This window comes from Homo sapiens, chromosome 2 (assembly GCF_000001405.40).
Source record: "Homo sapiens chromosome 2, GRCh38.p14 Primary Assembly".
NCBI classification, from domain to species: Eukaryota; Metazoa; Chordata; class Mammalia; order Primates; family Hominidae; genus Homo; species Homo sapiens.
Genome location: NC_000002.12, coordinates 170069040 through 170085409, shown reverse-complemented (window position 1 = coordinate 170085409; position 16370 = coordinate 170069040). Strand labels below are relative to the sequence as shown.

Genomic DNA, 16370 nt, shown 5'->3' with positions numbered 1-16370 from the left:
AGGCCTGTTCACTCTCGGTACATGATCCTGCTCCTTTGTCACCAAGAGAAGAGGGAATCAGACACAAATCCTCTTATTTTGCTCTAGACTTTCTTTCCTTTTCTCTTGTATCTTTTCCCCTCAACCTGAAGCTTTTATCTGTGCTCTTGACCCCACTCCTTCTGGTCTGCTCTTGGGCTCTACCTCACTGATTTTGGTACTGTCACATCTTACATTAATTTAACTTGCACAAAGGCAGCTCTACACAAGGTTCCATTGTGTGTTTTCACTGTGTTGCATCAGCTGAAGTCACATTCATTCCACTACTTGTACTGTACACTAAGATGGCAGGTCATAGCTCTTCCATACCTGATATGCCTAATTAATAGGGAGCTTGAAGTGTCATAAATAGAGAAGTGATCATGTTGCTGTTTTGCCCACTCCAGCTCATCCCTGTTGAACTAAGCAGTGCTTGATATCATCTAGCCAGATCATAAGGCAGAGGAAAGAACTATGTGCTGTGAATGGGACTGAGACACAGTCATAAGTCATCTGCTCTCCCACAATCATCAATCATCAGGCATCCTCACCAATGAATTCATCTTCTCTCGGTGATTTGATTCTAGTGGTTAAAACCATGCTTTGTGTCCCCCCCAACCCCAAATATGATCTCAAATATAAGCCATCAACAGCCATTTGAGAGTCAGCAATTAGAATCCTGGAGATAATACAGAGAGTCTTAGACCACATCTCTTCCCATATTGCTGTTTCCTCTAAGCCTTCAGTGCTTTTAGTCAGCATCTTTTTCTAAGTCACAGAAATCAGTAAATATCGGAATACATAAAACAGAGAAAGGTCTGAAGAGAAATGGACTGCTAGCTGATAAATGGCTGGTGAGCTTCAGGATGGAGAGGTAGGGGTGAGGACTGTCAATTCAAACAAGAATGCAAACCACTCAAAATAAACATTCTCATAAAGCACTAAACATTTCTGAAGTCTGGCTGGGAACTTTCAGAAAAGAACAGAGATCACAATTCCTCAGATCTACATACCCATTTCCTTCTCCCCCTACCAAACACACACACTTAGCAAAGAATGTGCATTGATTATGAGACAAGGACTGAAGAAGCAAGAACTCACTCTGCAAATAAAAGAAAAAAAGCAAAGCAAACCCTTTACACTTACTCCACCCTAAAGCAACTACTAATTATGTTGTGCTTTGATCTTTTCAGCCATGTTCACTCACATATATTACTGTCAATATCTTTGGGGGAAAAAAAAACATGTAAGCAGTAAACATTTTAAGGACCTTTCACAAACCAAATGACAGCAGGTTTTTATTAACATATCTTACAATGTTGATTATTCCTAGTTTTGTAATTTCTGCTTAATTATAAAGATCAATTTAGCTTCTACAGTAATGTACTGTATTTAAATGATCATTCATACAAGATATCACACCAGTACATTTTTTTGAATAATATACACACATCACTCTAACTTGGACCTGTTATTTTTAAAAGTGGGTTTATAAATGGGACTTATAAAAGTTATGGGGAAAAATTAAAGTTCTAGTTTAGCAGCATGCATGTATGTATTCAAGTACAATTTTCAACCAAGTGCTTTTTTAAAATTTACTGGTGACTAATTCACCAATATCAAAATAAACACTATCAAACACCCAAATTTTAAAGTTAAGGCTAATATTTTCACTTCACATCCATATGCACAACCATAAAACATTCCATTTTAAATAAGTAGTAATCAAAGTCTGAATACATTATACCATGTATATATAGCATCAGAGTTTCAAACTGTAGAATTATTCAAGTTCATGAATCCTGTAACAGTATTTACTAGAGATGTCAATTAGCATTTTGCTCTTCAACCACACTTACAAATGGTCTGGTATTCATAACGATCAATGCAAAAAGTATGACAGGCTGAACTTATGATACAGTATTTAAAAAAGTAGCAATGTGTTGGAAAGGACAGCTATTTAGTCGAACAGAATCATTGACTCTTACAGAAAGTTATCTTAATATTTTGGAAATGTATATAAAAATAGCAAGCTATTTCCATGTATTTTATTGTAGAACGATAGGTAATCTTTTGACTTTCTGAATACATTTGAATATGTACTGCTCTGCTTTCCATATTTTAATGCAAGGCCATGATTTAATGTCCATTTTTATACTCTTGTAATGTCATGTCATTACAAAAATTTTTTAGAACATGGATCTGACATATTTTATCATTAGATTTGTTTAGTTTATTTTTACATGTAAAAATGTAATTTTATATAACAAGCCATGGAAGTCCAAAGTACCAGGGATTGCTTGATAGCACTATATATTAAATAATCATTCAATTACTGAATCATTTAGGAAAAAAAATCTTTGTAGCAATATGTCACATGCTTTTCAGTAATCTTCCTTCTCATAGAGTGGGTTTTAGCTCAATCATTCCCATTTTTACTGATTTTTAAACCCTGCAAACATAAATTGTTTTTCACAGCAGTTTCTAAGAAGAATGCAGAAGCGTGGCTCATTCATGAGGGTCATCACCACTGCGCCTTTTTTTTCCTTTTAGGAAACCGAGCAGAAATAGTAGTGATTACACTGCACAAATACAATATAGCTGAACCTCTTGAGCTGAAAGGAAGTTCCAAAATTTATGGTTCATTTCTGGGGAAGTCTGAGCATTTCTAATACAATCATATAAACAAAACCTTGTTTGGTAATAAAAGGTGGGCATGCACGGAATCAACATCTGCCCAGTGTATGTTCTTAAACCTCTTGATTTCATAGTAAGATTTGTTATTACCTCTAGTAATTCATCCAACTGAAATGGCAAATTTTGATTTTTAAGGACCCCCCAACCACACATATGCCCCCCAAAATGTACTGTATTATATTAACAGCAGCTATCTACTTATTTTACAGCTATTTCAATTATTTACCTGGGGAGAAGATTTATGAAATTCCTGAGAATGAATTCAGTTTTCAGCAAAGCTTTAAACTTTTAACAGATTCCTCACAATAAGAAAAAATTTTAAAGTTCTACTATTAGACCAACTTTTACTATACAGTATTTCACATAAATCATGTTTTACATTTTTTTCTAATTACATACAGAAAAATTCTCCAATCAACACAAGAATGGCAGAGGAAAAAAGATGCATTATGCTTGGCAGATGCAAATTAAAACACACAGACAGAAAGAAGCAGTAAAATGTCAAATAAATCACACCCACTCTAAGTATCAATGAATAGCTGATACGCATTGTTGGGAGAATCATTTCTGAATGAGTTTGTGAACAAGTTGTGCTTCTTATTAATTGTGCACTTAAAAAATGACCACTAAAGAATAATTTAACTTGTTATTAATGTTCTCCAGATATTAAAAAAAAAAAATTATACCATTAACGTGATTACCAAGCACCTAATTTTGGAAAGGCTTCATAATGTATGTTTTCTTTTTCTCCCTCAGCAAAAGTGTTAATCCCCCAAATTAAGTTAAAGCTTATTGTTGAAAAATAAATTCGTAGCGAAAATGATGATACGATGCAATGCTGAGGTGGAGAGTCACAGCCCATTGTAATGTGGACCCCATCTTTTATTGATGTGATCAAAAGTATGAGAAATCCACTGTTGCTCAAGAACTTTGTATCTTTCCTTACAAATGTAGAGAGGTTTGCCTCGCCTAGAACAAAAAGAAAAAAAAAGTATTAATATCATACACGGAAGATTTCACATGCATTTCTTTCTTCTTTTTTTTCTGAGACAGTCTCTCGCAGTGCAACCTCCGCCTCCTGGGTTCAAGCAATTCTCCTGTCTCAGCCTCTCGAGTAGCTGGGATTACAGGTGCTCACCACCATGCCTGCCTCCTTTTTTTATTTTTTTATTTTTTATTTACTTATTTCTTTTTTGAGACGGAGTCCCACTCTGTCACCCAGGCTGGAGTGCAGTGGCACGATCTTGGCTCACTGCAAGCTCCGCCTCCCGAGTTCATGCCATTCTCCTGCCTCAGCCTCTAGAGTAGCTGGGACTATAGGGGCCCGCCACCACACCCGGCTAATTTTTTGTATTTTTAGTAGAGACGGGGTTTCACCATATTGGCCAGCCTGGTCTCGAACTCCTGACCTCAAGTGATCCACCCACCTCGGCCTCCCAAAGTGCTGGGATTACAGGCGTGAGCCACCACACCTACCACATTTCTTTTTTTACTAGATTCTTTTTTGAGACAGTCTTTCTCTGTTGCCCAGGTTGGTGTGCAGTGGCACGATCACAGCTCACTGCAGCCGCCACCTGCTGGGCTCAAGCGATCCTTCCACCTCCTCCCGAGTTGCTGGGACCACAGGTGTATGACCACCACACCTGGCTTATTTATTTTTATTTTTTTGTAGAGATGAGGTCTCACTATGTTGTCCAGGCTGGTCTCAAACTCCTGGGCTCAAGCAATCCTGCTTCAGCCTCCCAAAGTGCTGAGATTACAGGTGTGAGCCACTGGGCCTGGCCAACGGATTCTTTGTGGCAAAAACCTCACATGGTAATTTGGTGTATTTCATGTTTCCTCAACGTATTGATAGGGACAATAGCTCAAAAACTAGAAATAGCTCTAAATTAATGACTGTCAGAATTTCTTAATATTAAAAAAATTGTAATTACAAAGCCAGGAATAGCATATTGGTTTTCACTGACCAAATTTCAATAAAACACCTGGATATATCCATGAACATCTAACCTAAGATCCCGGTCTTCCTCTCCATGAGCATCCAAATACACGGAACCCCAGAGGCAGAAGCGGTGACCTCGAATGATGATAATTACCGATGCATTGATCAAAAGGAAAATACCTGTTCCTGCACCACAGTTCTGAGAGTGCTAAAAAATTAAAAATATATTAATGAACTTCATAATCAAATAGGCTTTATAATAAAATCAAGAATATATTAATGCCTTCTAAATAATACAGTGATTTAAAAATAGTAAGATTTCATTTAAGTTAAACTTATAACTCCATTCCTAACACTTTATTATTAATACATTAGGAGGTATTTGGGTAAGGAATATCTAGTAAAGCAATTAAGAGCCAACCTAATTCAGAGTCTAGTATCTTCAACAGCACAGATGACTTCTGTTTCACAGCACATTCCAAAGTACATACCATTAAAGGGATAGTAGATGAAAGGAGAACTAGAATTGTACTTAAGGAAGGATTTACTCACTTAAAGCCTCAAAGACTTTCTTTTTTTACTCTTCTACTGGATTAAAAAACACACACAATCCCTATATGTATTATATACTTAATTCAAAGAGTAGTTAATATGAAGAGATGGCTTGACCATATTTTGTGATATGAGATCTGTGTTTTCATAAATTTTGTATTATCTACTATTGCTTACCAGTACACATTCACAGTAACTTTGTTGCTTGCAGCAAAGTCCTTTCAGGCATACAAAAGTACCACACACAAGGCAAACAGCAGGATCTTTAGGAACCTTGGTGCAGACACTACAGGTTTTTCTGTGGTAGTACTGAAAAATGGTGTTATAATTCTCAGGCAACTGTAGTAGGTGTGGTAATTTCCATTTTGACTCTTGGATAAGCAAGGCCTAAAACATTATCCAAAAATATTCATTAGTTTTATGTATTTAAGTCACTAACACAATATATTTTTTAAATGTATTTTTACAGAAAGAAAAATCTGCCTCCAAGAATGTGGCTTATTTTCTTTATTAACACTCCTCTCATTTCCATCTTATACATGACTAAAATAGTAGTTCAACAGTTACCATTATCTAATGTATTATAGTTTCCAATTACAGTATGATTTAATTTTTTAGATTAAGCACCTTAAAACATTTAAACTTGTTATTACTTTAAAAGAAAAACACCATCTCTAAGCATGCAGGGAAAATACATCTAATTGTATTTGACTTTAAACATGCATAGTGCAAAGGTTTTTAAAAGTTACGTATTTTTTAAAACCAAGTTTTGATCATTCTCAAACAATTCTTTAGCTTTTTCTTTAGGACAGATCATGGTTATAACTCATTTTTTCTACTTTAATACTTTATAATGTAGAATTGCTTTCCTAGAGTATGTACAATTCATTGCACCTCAAGCTGTTAAGATCTTTTATATCCATAAGTGCTGGGCTACAATTCTTTTCATAAATGTCTTGCTATAAGAATAAAAAAATTGTCAAATTAGTTAAATTTCCCTGAAGGGTATGCTTTATTAACTATTTGCAGCTGTATAAAAATACTGGCAGCAGCACTAAATTTTTCTAGATGCTACTCCATTCACACTTAAAAAAGATAAAATGTAGAGTGAGTCTATTATCTTAAGAAACTGTAAGTAATAGTCAATTTAAATGGAGATCATCTCACATTACCTACATGCAGCCATAATCCACCTAAATCAGTGGAGTAACTAAGCTAGCTTGTTCCTCATCAACAAGTTCATGGATTAAGTGTCCATGGAAGCAATGATAAGAACAGTATACAATACATCATTTGCCAATACTCAGCACCCAACCCTGGACTCCAAGGATGGCATTCTGTAATGAGTTGATTACAGTGGAACCCTTCCATTAAAGGGAAGGGATAACAATTTGTCCTCACTGAACTTGACACTTATTATAGGTTAGGCTGCATGTTATCCAGTAGCCCATAGCACATTACCTCCAATAATTTCCCTCATGAAGAGAGATGTAAGGCAACAGGTGGATGTCCATGGAATTCACTGATCTTAACATATATTCAATCATCTGAAAAAAGCTGTGGTATTTTAAATCATGAACTACAAAACTGATTTTTTCAGTGCCACAAAAATTATGAAATTCATGAAATTTACAAACTTTTAGATGGCACCAGCTGGAAGAAATCACCTACAGAATGTGTATGCTCTAAACAGCAACCAGTATATATGGGTGACCTTTTTCACAATTGGAATGCATATGTATGGGAAACAAGAGGTGGAAAGTATTTAACAGCTGTAACACCTCTCATGATTACACCTAAAATTCGGTCTTGCCTTTCCTGTTGCGGCCTGTGTGGAGTTCACTCGTGGGTCTCTGAGACCCAAAAATTGAGAGCATTTTCGCACCCCAGGGGCTGCGCCTGTGCCATGCCACAGATCAAATATATTGAATTACACTGTAAATGCCATGGATATCATTTGGATTACCATGAGAAAAAGGGAAAGAAGGAAAGTTGAGAGGCTTATGAACATTCAAAGAAGTCAAAGAAAATGATTGGTCTGAAGGCTAAGCTTTATCTTAAACAGCACCATGCTGAGAAAATACAAATGAAAAAGACCATCAAGATGCATGAAAAGAGAAACACCAGACAAAAGAAAGACTCCACAGGGAGCAGTACCTGCCTATCTGCTGGACAGAGAGGGACAACCTCAAGCTAACGTACTTCCCAGTATGATTAAGCCGAAATGAAAAGAGAAAGCAGGAAAATGGAAAGTCCCTCTGTCTAAATGTAACTTGCCCAGGGAGATACAGAAGTGTTAAGAGTTATTTGAACAGAGCCAGGTGCAGTGGCTCATGCCTGTAATCCCAGAACTTTGGGAGGCCAAGGTAGGCAGATCATTTGAGGTCAGGAGTTCAAGACCAGCCTGGGCAACATGGTGAAACCCTGTCTTTACTAAAAATACAAAAATTAGCTGGGCATAGTGGCAGGCGCCTGTAATCCCAGCTACTCAGGAGGCTGAGGCAGGAAAATCACTTGAACCCAGGAGGCTGAGGTTGCAGTAAGCCAAGATCGCTCTACTGCACTCAAGCCTGGGCAACAGAGTGAGACTCTGTCTCAAAGTTATTCCAACAGGAAAGAGAAAGACGCAGGCATAGAGGAGGATGGTTACTAAAGTCTGCTTTGTTGGAGATGGCTTTACAAGAAAACTACTTATCTATGGAAGATTCATCAGGCCAATGGGCTTGCGTTTCAAGAAAGCCCATGTAACACATCCTGAACTGAAAGCCACCTTTTGCCTAACAATACTTGGTGTAAAGAAGAGTCCCTCATTCCCAATGTATATAACTTTGGATGTTATTACCAAAGGTACTGTTACTGAGGTGAATGTGAGTTGGGCCTTGTGACACAAGGAGGCAAGGTTATTTGGGGAAAATAGGCTGTGGTTACCAACAATCCTGAAAATGATGGATGTATAAATGCAGTCTTACTGGTCTGACAGCACTTTCATAGATATTTATTGAAGACTACACACCAACTGAAAAAACTGCCATTACTGTGATGTTTCTGAATACTACCAAACAGCCTTACATGTCTGCAATCAAGAGATTTATTAAATTGTAAACATTAAAATGGAAAAAAAAATTCGGTCTTAAATTTCTGCTTCACTGCTATTCCGGACTCTTCTGCGGATTTACAAGCTATGTACTGTCTAACCTCTAGTACGGTTTATAACATCACAAGGGTGGCTTATCGCATTGCCTGGAGGGATTGACCATGACTATCAAGAAGAATAAAAATATTGCCATACAATTGGTAGAGCAATATTTTGGAACTTAAAAACCCCTACCACCACCCCTACCATAGACCAAGCTTGAAAGGCAGAAATTTAACACAGAATGATTACAGCCTTATAGAAACAAAGACAGGACCAATCACCAGAAGCTCAGCCCTTTCAGAATAAAGTTTGGTATCACATCCTTGCTCAAACAAATCCAATCATCCGTTGAGGTGTGCTGGATCACGGATGGTAAAAGAAGAAAGTCATATATATTTGACTGTATATTAGCTGCAGCTTTATGACTACTTGCAAATCTTGCTTACTGTATCATATATCTTTGCAACATTTTCATTCTCTTACTATTGAATTCAGGGTGAGCAGGTACTAATTAAAATTTTCCAGGCCATCTGGGTGTGAGTACAAATGACAGGAACAATGGACATCTCTCAGAGCTACTGGATGCAGAGAGGCCTGATGATGTAAGGACTATATGTGACATCAGGTTGCTTATTTGGGAAAGTCACAGATGCATTTGCAGTCATAAGTAAAATGGTTACATCATTTTCAACAGCAGAAGTGAAACTGTGAATGAGAAGAAGGGTGTGTATGAGCCAGGCAGGTAAGATGTGAAAGTAGTGGGCCACTAGTTTGTTTTTTAAATCCTCCTAGCATCCTTTGCTGCTTTCTTATATTAATAACATTATAAGTTCTTTTAGAAAATAACCCCTTTTCTTGCTCCGTACAGTTCTGATGGGGCTGTCCCCAACACAAGATCCTGCCCCACCACTGGGGTATATGTATTACAACAGTTAGGCCAACCAGATTCTCTCTCCCAGGAATCTGAACCTTGAGCATGCAAATTAAAGGAAGGAAAATGGTTGAGGCTTAGTTATCTGGTGGCAGCACTTCAGAGAAAACAGAGCAGAGATATTTGTGGTTTCTCTTCTTCCCAAGCGATGACAGTTAAGCTCTTCAATTCTGCAGGTTACCAAGTATGCTTCCAATGAATCCTGTTTTTTTTTTTTTTTCTGTCATAGTTTGCTTTGGTTTTCCTTATTTTAAATCAGAACTGGATTTTGTTGTTCCCAAACAAAGAATCTTAACTGATAAAAAAATTCAGAAGTAGTAATTCACAGACAGTTTTTCAAGGGTAGTACTGTTGGACTATACAGCTCCTGTCACCATTTACCCTGCTAAGTCTCGCTATACAGATTTAACATTCCTGAGAAAGAGAATCTGGTTGACCTAGGGTCAGGATCAGGGTTAGGAACACAAGAGTGGAGCAGGGACACAAGGGGGAATACAGGTCAAATGGTGGTGTACTTACATAACTGGCAAAAATTCTGCATTAGCATAAATTAATAAATTAATCAAATGTCTACTACACTGCCTCTACAATAATTATCACCTAATTATATGAAAAGATTAAATATTTTAAAATGAAAAATTCTTATTTTCCATCAGCATACATACAATAATCATTCATCTAAAATGTAGGCTTGATTTTAACCTATGGCTCATATGAAGACAAACTCTGGGTGTGCTCATCACTTTTTTCCCTGCCTTGGTTCTACAATTATACCCCTCTTACTCCATGTCATCCTGCATAGGTTTTCAGACATCAAAGTATGATGTCAAATTATTGCTATATGCTCTGTGAATAAAGAAATTACTAGACAGGAAGATATTTGTATATGTAATATGCAAGATTCAATTAACTTGAATTTCCCTTTTTTTTTAAAAAAAGGGTATAAAATGAGATAGCATCTTTTTAAGGATTTCAGCAAAAAATGGAAAAGAACAAAAGCAGAGACATTTATAACTTATGCTTATCTTTTATTATTCACTCCAATGTTTTAAAAATGAAACCTAGTCTGACACATTCATCTGAAATATTAATTTTTTATTGTCCCTTTGATGTTCAAAATTAAAATTCTCACTTTCCCTGAAACTTGGCTCCCCTTTAATACGTTCTATTTCTGCCAAAGACACCACCCCACAACTTAATTGTTCTACAAATATTTATTAGGTGACTAGTATATATGAGGCACTTTCTAGAAACCGGGGATAAATAAGGAACAATTTCTGCTTCGTGGAGCCCCCATTCAGATACATTAAAGAAACAAATGTAATGAACATGGCAACTGTTAGAGAAAGTCACAAAAGTACAGCCTTATAGAACAACAGAAAAAAAAGGGATTAGGATGTAAGGAAGATGGACTATCAGACAAATCTTCATGGAGGAAGTCACATTTATCTTAGCAAAGGTAAATGTTACTTAGCAAACAGTGATTATTAATTCAACAGAAGGGTAGGAAGGTTGCTTTAGTAACAGCAATAAGTAATGTTCTAGAAGTTTAAAAATGTATAGCATACTTATGAAACATTCTTTTGTGATTTGAGCAAGGTAATGGCAGAGGGAGGCTATACGATGAGATGGAAAGGCAAGCAAGATGGTGAAGATCCTTGAGTGCCATGCAAGGAGTCCATACCTTCTTCCATAGGCAATGGGGCATCAGCAATGGTGTTTAAGCAGCCGCATGTTCCTACTGTAGCTGTATATACTAGACACTACTCTCCTAATGATTGGAGTTCAAGATCTTAAAGTCATGTACATCTGGTCACCAAGTCCTATATTTTTCTCAAATGTCTCTTACATTAGTTACTTTCCAAGTTTTACAATCAGAAAAATAGTCTAGATTTTTTTCACCACCTAAATATTTTCTGGCTTCCCTTTATCCTTACTTTAATTTATCCACTAAAAAGACACCAGAATTACTCCCCAAAATACTACTTTCATCACATTATTCAATTTTAAAAAACTGTAGTTCTAGAATTCTGAGACTCCAACCATGGCATACACAGCCACTCACTGCTGTTCCCACTCTACTTATCTTCAATACAAACCCTTTAACTAGCTGAGCTGGTAGCATAGGCCCAAGAAATTTTAAAGTTAAAGACATGACCTTTTAGATTTGCTAGTCCAATTTGTTTTAAAAATATAAGCCAGTTCTTCAAACAAAAATGTAAATTCCTTGTCTACCTTAAAATTCCTTTGTATCTACCAAGTCTAATCCTATGATTACTTAAGGTATTCAATAAAAATCTGCTGACCCCAAACAAACTAAAAGTATTGACTAATGCCTTACCTTTGTTAGCTGAAATATTTCTTCCATTATAAATACAATCTACATAAGTAAACAATTTTTTCAATTTAATCAAGTTTTATAATTGCTGTCAAAAACAGATGACCTAAAATTTAACAGTCCTCATTATTCTCTTACCTATTAGCATATCACCACCGTGACAAGCTAGTACAACTCTTTTAACATACCTTTCCTTGTTCTGCATGTCTTTCAGTAAATGATTTTATCTCAAAACACCACTGAGTTATAATATCAAATGCTGGAACTGGCCAATCCAGACAGGAGGCACTGATGAATGGATGTTCTGTTTGGTAAAACGTTGGCAGAAGTCCCAGGCAGCTGGCAAGAACTGAAAATTCTTCTTCTTCCTTTTAGACATGAAATAGGAAATTCTGAAAATATTTCATCAAGAACATTTCCTATTACATAAAAGGTCACCCTCATCAATTACTTTGAGACAATAAGAAAACTTTCTTAACTGAGTCAACTGAAAAAAAGTGAAGGGAGTAAGAGAAACAAGAGAGAAAAAGGTTCCTAGCTGTTATATCTAAATATCCCCAAAATACATCTCTTTGAAATATAACTCCTAAATGTCATCTGCTTCTTTTATACATTTATTTTTTAAATAGAGTTGTTATATATCTAATGGTTCTATAGAACCTAGCTACTCTATGAAAGCAAATGTTAATATGGGGCAAAGAGAAAGTTATTTCTGGTTTAAAACTTTTAGGTTGTCAGTGTGGATAAGGAACAATAATAAAAACATGGAATTCACGAGAGAGTGCTAAATAATGTGCCTAGACTTTGAATGAGTGTGAAACAAAATCAGTTTTAAAAAGGGGGGTGGAATTGTTAGGAGCCAGGTAATCCAAAGCTCTATTTGCTAATAAAAGTACCAGAGATATCAGTGACCAAGAATTCATATCTTAAAAGTTGATATTTAAAGAAGCTTATTAGTCTTGGAAACACAGAAATATATTCCCCAATCCCTCTTTATTTAACCGAAAGACCACATAGGAAGCTAATGTGTCTACTCTCCCTTGTCCACAGAATCAATTCCTATTATCCTCCAAATTCCAGCTCACTAGGGAAGCCTTCCCTGACACCATTTAATGAAACCTCAGACCACTCAGCTCCATTCAGATATAATTAGTCCTTCAAATCTTGTAAACACTTTTATTCTTGCATTTATGTTCCTATTACTTTTTTTAAATTTTATTATTATTATGCTTTAAGTTTTAGGGTACATGTGCACAATGTGCAGGTTAGTTACATATGTATATATGTGCCATGCTGATGTGCTGTACCCATTAACTCGTCATTTAGCATTAGGTATATCTCCTAATGCTATCCCTCCCCCCTCCCGCTACCCCACAACAGTCCCCAGAGTGTGATGTTCCCCTTCCTGTGTCCCTGTGTTCTCATTGTTCAATTCCCACCTATGAGTGAGAATATGCGGTGTTTGGTTTTTTGTTCTTGTGATAGTTTACTGAGAATGATGATTTCCAATTTCATCCATGTCCCTACAAAGGATATGAACTCATCCTTTTTTATGGCTGCATAGTATTCCATGGCGTATATGTGCCACATTTTCTTAATCCAGTCTATCATTGTTGGACATTTGGGTTGGTTCCAAGTCTTTGCTATTGTGAATAGTGTCGCAATAAACATATGTGTGCATATGTCTTTATAGCAGCATGATTTATAGTCCTTTGGGTATATACCCAGTAATGGGATGGCTGGGTCAAATGGTATTTCTAGCTCTAGATCCCTGAGGAATCGCCACACTGACTTCCACAATGGTTGAACTAGTTTACAGTCCCACCAACAGTGTAAAAGTGTTCCTATTTCTCCACATCCTCTCCAGCACCTGTTGTTTCCTGACTTTTTAATGACTGCTTTAAAATCAAATTTGCCTTCTCCATAAAACTGTGAGTTCTCTGGAAGTAGGAACTCTGTCCTCCTAATGCTTGGCACATAGCAGACGTTCAACAAATGTCTGCAAAACTAATTATGCACATTAAGTACAAAATTCTGAAATATGCTACAAAGAAGAAATGCAGATGAAAAAGAAAAATTATATGCAGGCTGAGAAACATGTTAATTTTCAAATATCTAGAAATTTACAATTCTTCCATTTATATAGTTTAACAAAGAAGGCATTTTAAAAAACTTTACTGAGCTATAAATCCACATACCATAACATTCAACCATTTTATGTATAGTTTAATGAATTTTGGTAAATGTATAGTCATGCACCCACCATCACAATACAGTTTTAGAATAATTCCATCACACCCTAAAATTTGCTTATGTTCCTATGCAGCCAATCCTGGCCCCTACTCTTTGGACCCAAACAGCCACTGATATTTCTACTATTAAAATCATACAGGATGTAATCTTATGTACCTGGCCTCTTTCACTTATTTTGAGACTCATTCATGTTATACCACATTTTGTTCATGCATTCACATGTTGATGGTTGTTTCCAGATTTTGACTATGAATTTGGCTATTATGAACATTCATTTAGAAGTCTAAATGTAGACATATGTTTTCATTTCTTCCAGTTGATACTTAGCAGAACTGCTGGGTTGTATAGTAAGCATATGCTTAATATTTTTAAAAACTGCCAAACTTTTTCCAAATTGACTATACCGTTTTGCATTCCTATCAGTAATGAATAAGATTTCTAGGACTTCAAATCCTCGCCAACACTTGGTATTATCACTTGTGATATTAATTGGTACTTCTCTAATGAACAAGGATGTTGAGTATCTTTTCATCTACTTGTTGGCCATTCATATATATTCTCTTAAGAAGTATCTATTCAAGTGTTTTGCCCACTTTTGTGTTGGGTTTTTGTTTTCTTACACTTGAGTTAAAAGAATTTTTGACACATTCTGGATACAAGTCTTCTTTCACACAGCTAGAAAAAAATTTTAGGTATAAGCCACATACCATAAATGTTACTCTTTTAATATATACAATTCAGTGGTTCTCAGTATATTCATGAAATTGTGCAAGCCTTGCCAGTATCAAATTCCAAAATATTTTCATCACCCCATTGTAATTTGAATTATGTTATTAATTTCATTTTCAGATTGCTCACTGCTAGTGTATAGAAATACAGTGAAATTTTTGTACATCTATCTGTATCCTACAACCTTGCTGAACTTATTAGCTCTAATAGGTTTCTTTGGAGATTCCTTATGGTGTTCTAGAGGTAAGGTCATTTTATTTGCAAACGAACTGTTTTACCTCTTCCTTTCCAATCTGGATGTCTTTTTTTCTTTTTCTTGCCTACCTGCCTTGCTAGAAAATTTAGTACAATGCTGAAAAGTGGTGAGAGCAGGCATCCTTGTCTTGTTCCAATCTTGTTCCTGTCTTTCACTATTAAGCATGATGTTAGCTAATAGTTTTTGATATGCTCTTTTATCAGGCTGAGAAAATTCCCTTCTATTCCTAGCCTTGTGAGTGTTTTTACCATGAAAGTACATTAGATTTTGTTAAATGCTTTTCTTTGACAAATGAAATGATCATATGGTTTCCCCCCCATTTATTCAATTAATATGTGAACTAAATTAATTGACTTTTGTTGTCGAACCAACTGTGCATTCCGGGATAAACCCATTTGGTCATGCCCATGTTCAATGCAGCATTAGTTACAATAGCAAAGATATTAATCAACCTAAGTGTCCATTGATGGATGAGTGAATAAAGAAATAGCCCTCTGTATTCAGGAGTTCCATATCCATGTACTCAACCAGCCATACATCAAAAATATTTTTTTAAAAAATAACAATAAAATACAAATAATATAATAACTATTCGTATAGCATTTATATTAGGTATTATAAGTAATCTAAGGTGGAGATGATTTAAAATATATGGGAGGGTGTGCATATGTTATAAGCAAATACTACACTATTTTATGTAAGGGACTTGAACATCTAAGGCTCTTAGTATCTGGGGGGGGAACAAATCCCCTACAGATAGCGATGGATGACTGTATACACATGAAATATTATTCAACCTAAGAAAAGAAGGAAATGCTGTCAATTTATCACAACATGAATGAATCTGAAGGACATTATGTTAAATGAAATAAGCCAGTCACAGAGAGACAAATACTGCATGATCTCACACTGGAATCTTAAAAAGTAGAAGCAGAGTAGAACGGTGGTTGCCAGGGTCTGGGAGAAATGGGGAGATGTTGGCCAAAGGGTACAAACTCTGTTATAAGATGAATAAGTTCTGGAGAGGTAATGTACAGCATGATGACTATATTTAATAATACTGTATTGTATACTTGAAATTTGCTAACAGAGTAGGTCTTAAATGTTATCAGAAAACAGATAACTATGTGAGATTATGGATATGTTAATTAGCCTGATTGTGGTCATCATATACAATGTATACATATATATCAAAACATTACATATTGTATACTATATATATAATTTTTACTTGTCCTTAATATTTATAACTCAAATATTTCTTGTACCTCAATAAAGCTAAAAGAAAAATACCCATTTGGTTATAGTGTACTATCCTTTCTATTGCTAATATTTTGTGAAGGCTTTTGCTTCTATGTTCATGGGAGACATGGGTTTGTAGTTTTTTTCATAATGCCTCATTCAACTATCAGGATAAAACTGGCCTTATAAATTGAGTTCAGAAGTGTTCCTTCTTCCTTTATTTTCTGAAATAGGTTCAGGAGTATTGGTACAATTTCTTTCTTAAATGTCTCAGAG

At 35.8% G+C, this 16370-nt stretch overlaps 1 protein-coding gene and 1 pseudogene across 1 annotated transcript in view, besides 1 other annotated feature; one reads left to right on the top strand and one right to left on the bottom strand.

Moving 5' to 3' along the window:
- Positions 1–1278: 1278 nt before the first annotated feature.
- UBR3 (ubiquitin protein ligase E3 component n-recognin 3) overlaps positions 1279–16370 on the bottom strand; it is a 256678-nt gene continuing 241586 nt past the window's right edge. The window contains exons 36-39 of the mRNA NM_172070.4: positions 11803–11982; positions 5387–5596; positions 4726–4865; positions 1279–3684 (exon numbers count right to left, since the gene is read on the bottom strand). Coding sequence (NP_742067.3) covers positions 3567–3684; positions 4726–4865; positions 5387–5596; positions 11803–11982 — 648 coding nt within the window. The 3' untranslated portion in view covers positions 1279–3566. The remainder of the gene's footprint in view (positions 3685–4725; positions 4866–5386; positions 5597–11802; positions 11983–16370) is intronic.
- Positions 6855–7634: an enhancer, noted in NCBI's record as "OCT4-NANOG hESC enhancer chr2:170934286-170935065 (GRCh37/hg19 assembly coordinates)". NCBI's record gives its function as "activates a minimal SCP1, AML or CMV promoter by ChIP-STARR-seq in primed H9 embryonic stem cells {active_cell/tissue: H9 hESC(primed)}" and the evidence as "EXISTENCE:reporter gene assay evidence [ECO:0000049][PMID:30033119]".
- Positions 7023–7942, top strand: NSA2P5 (NSA2 pseudogene 5; annotated as a pseudogene).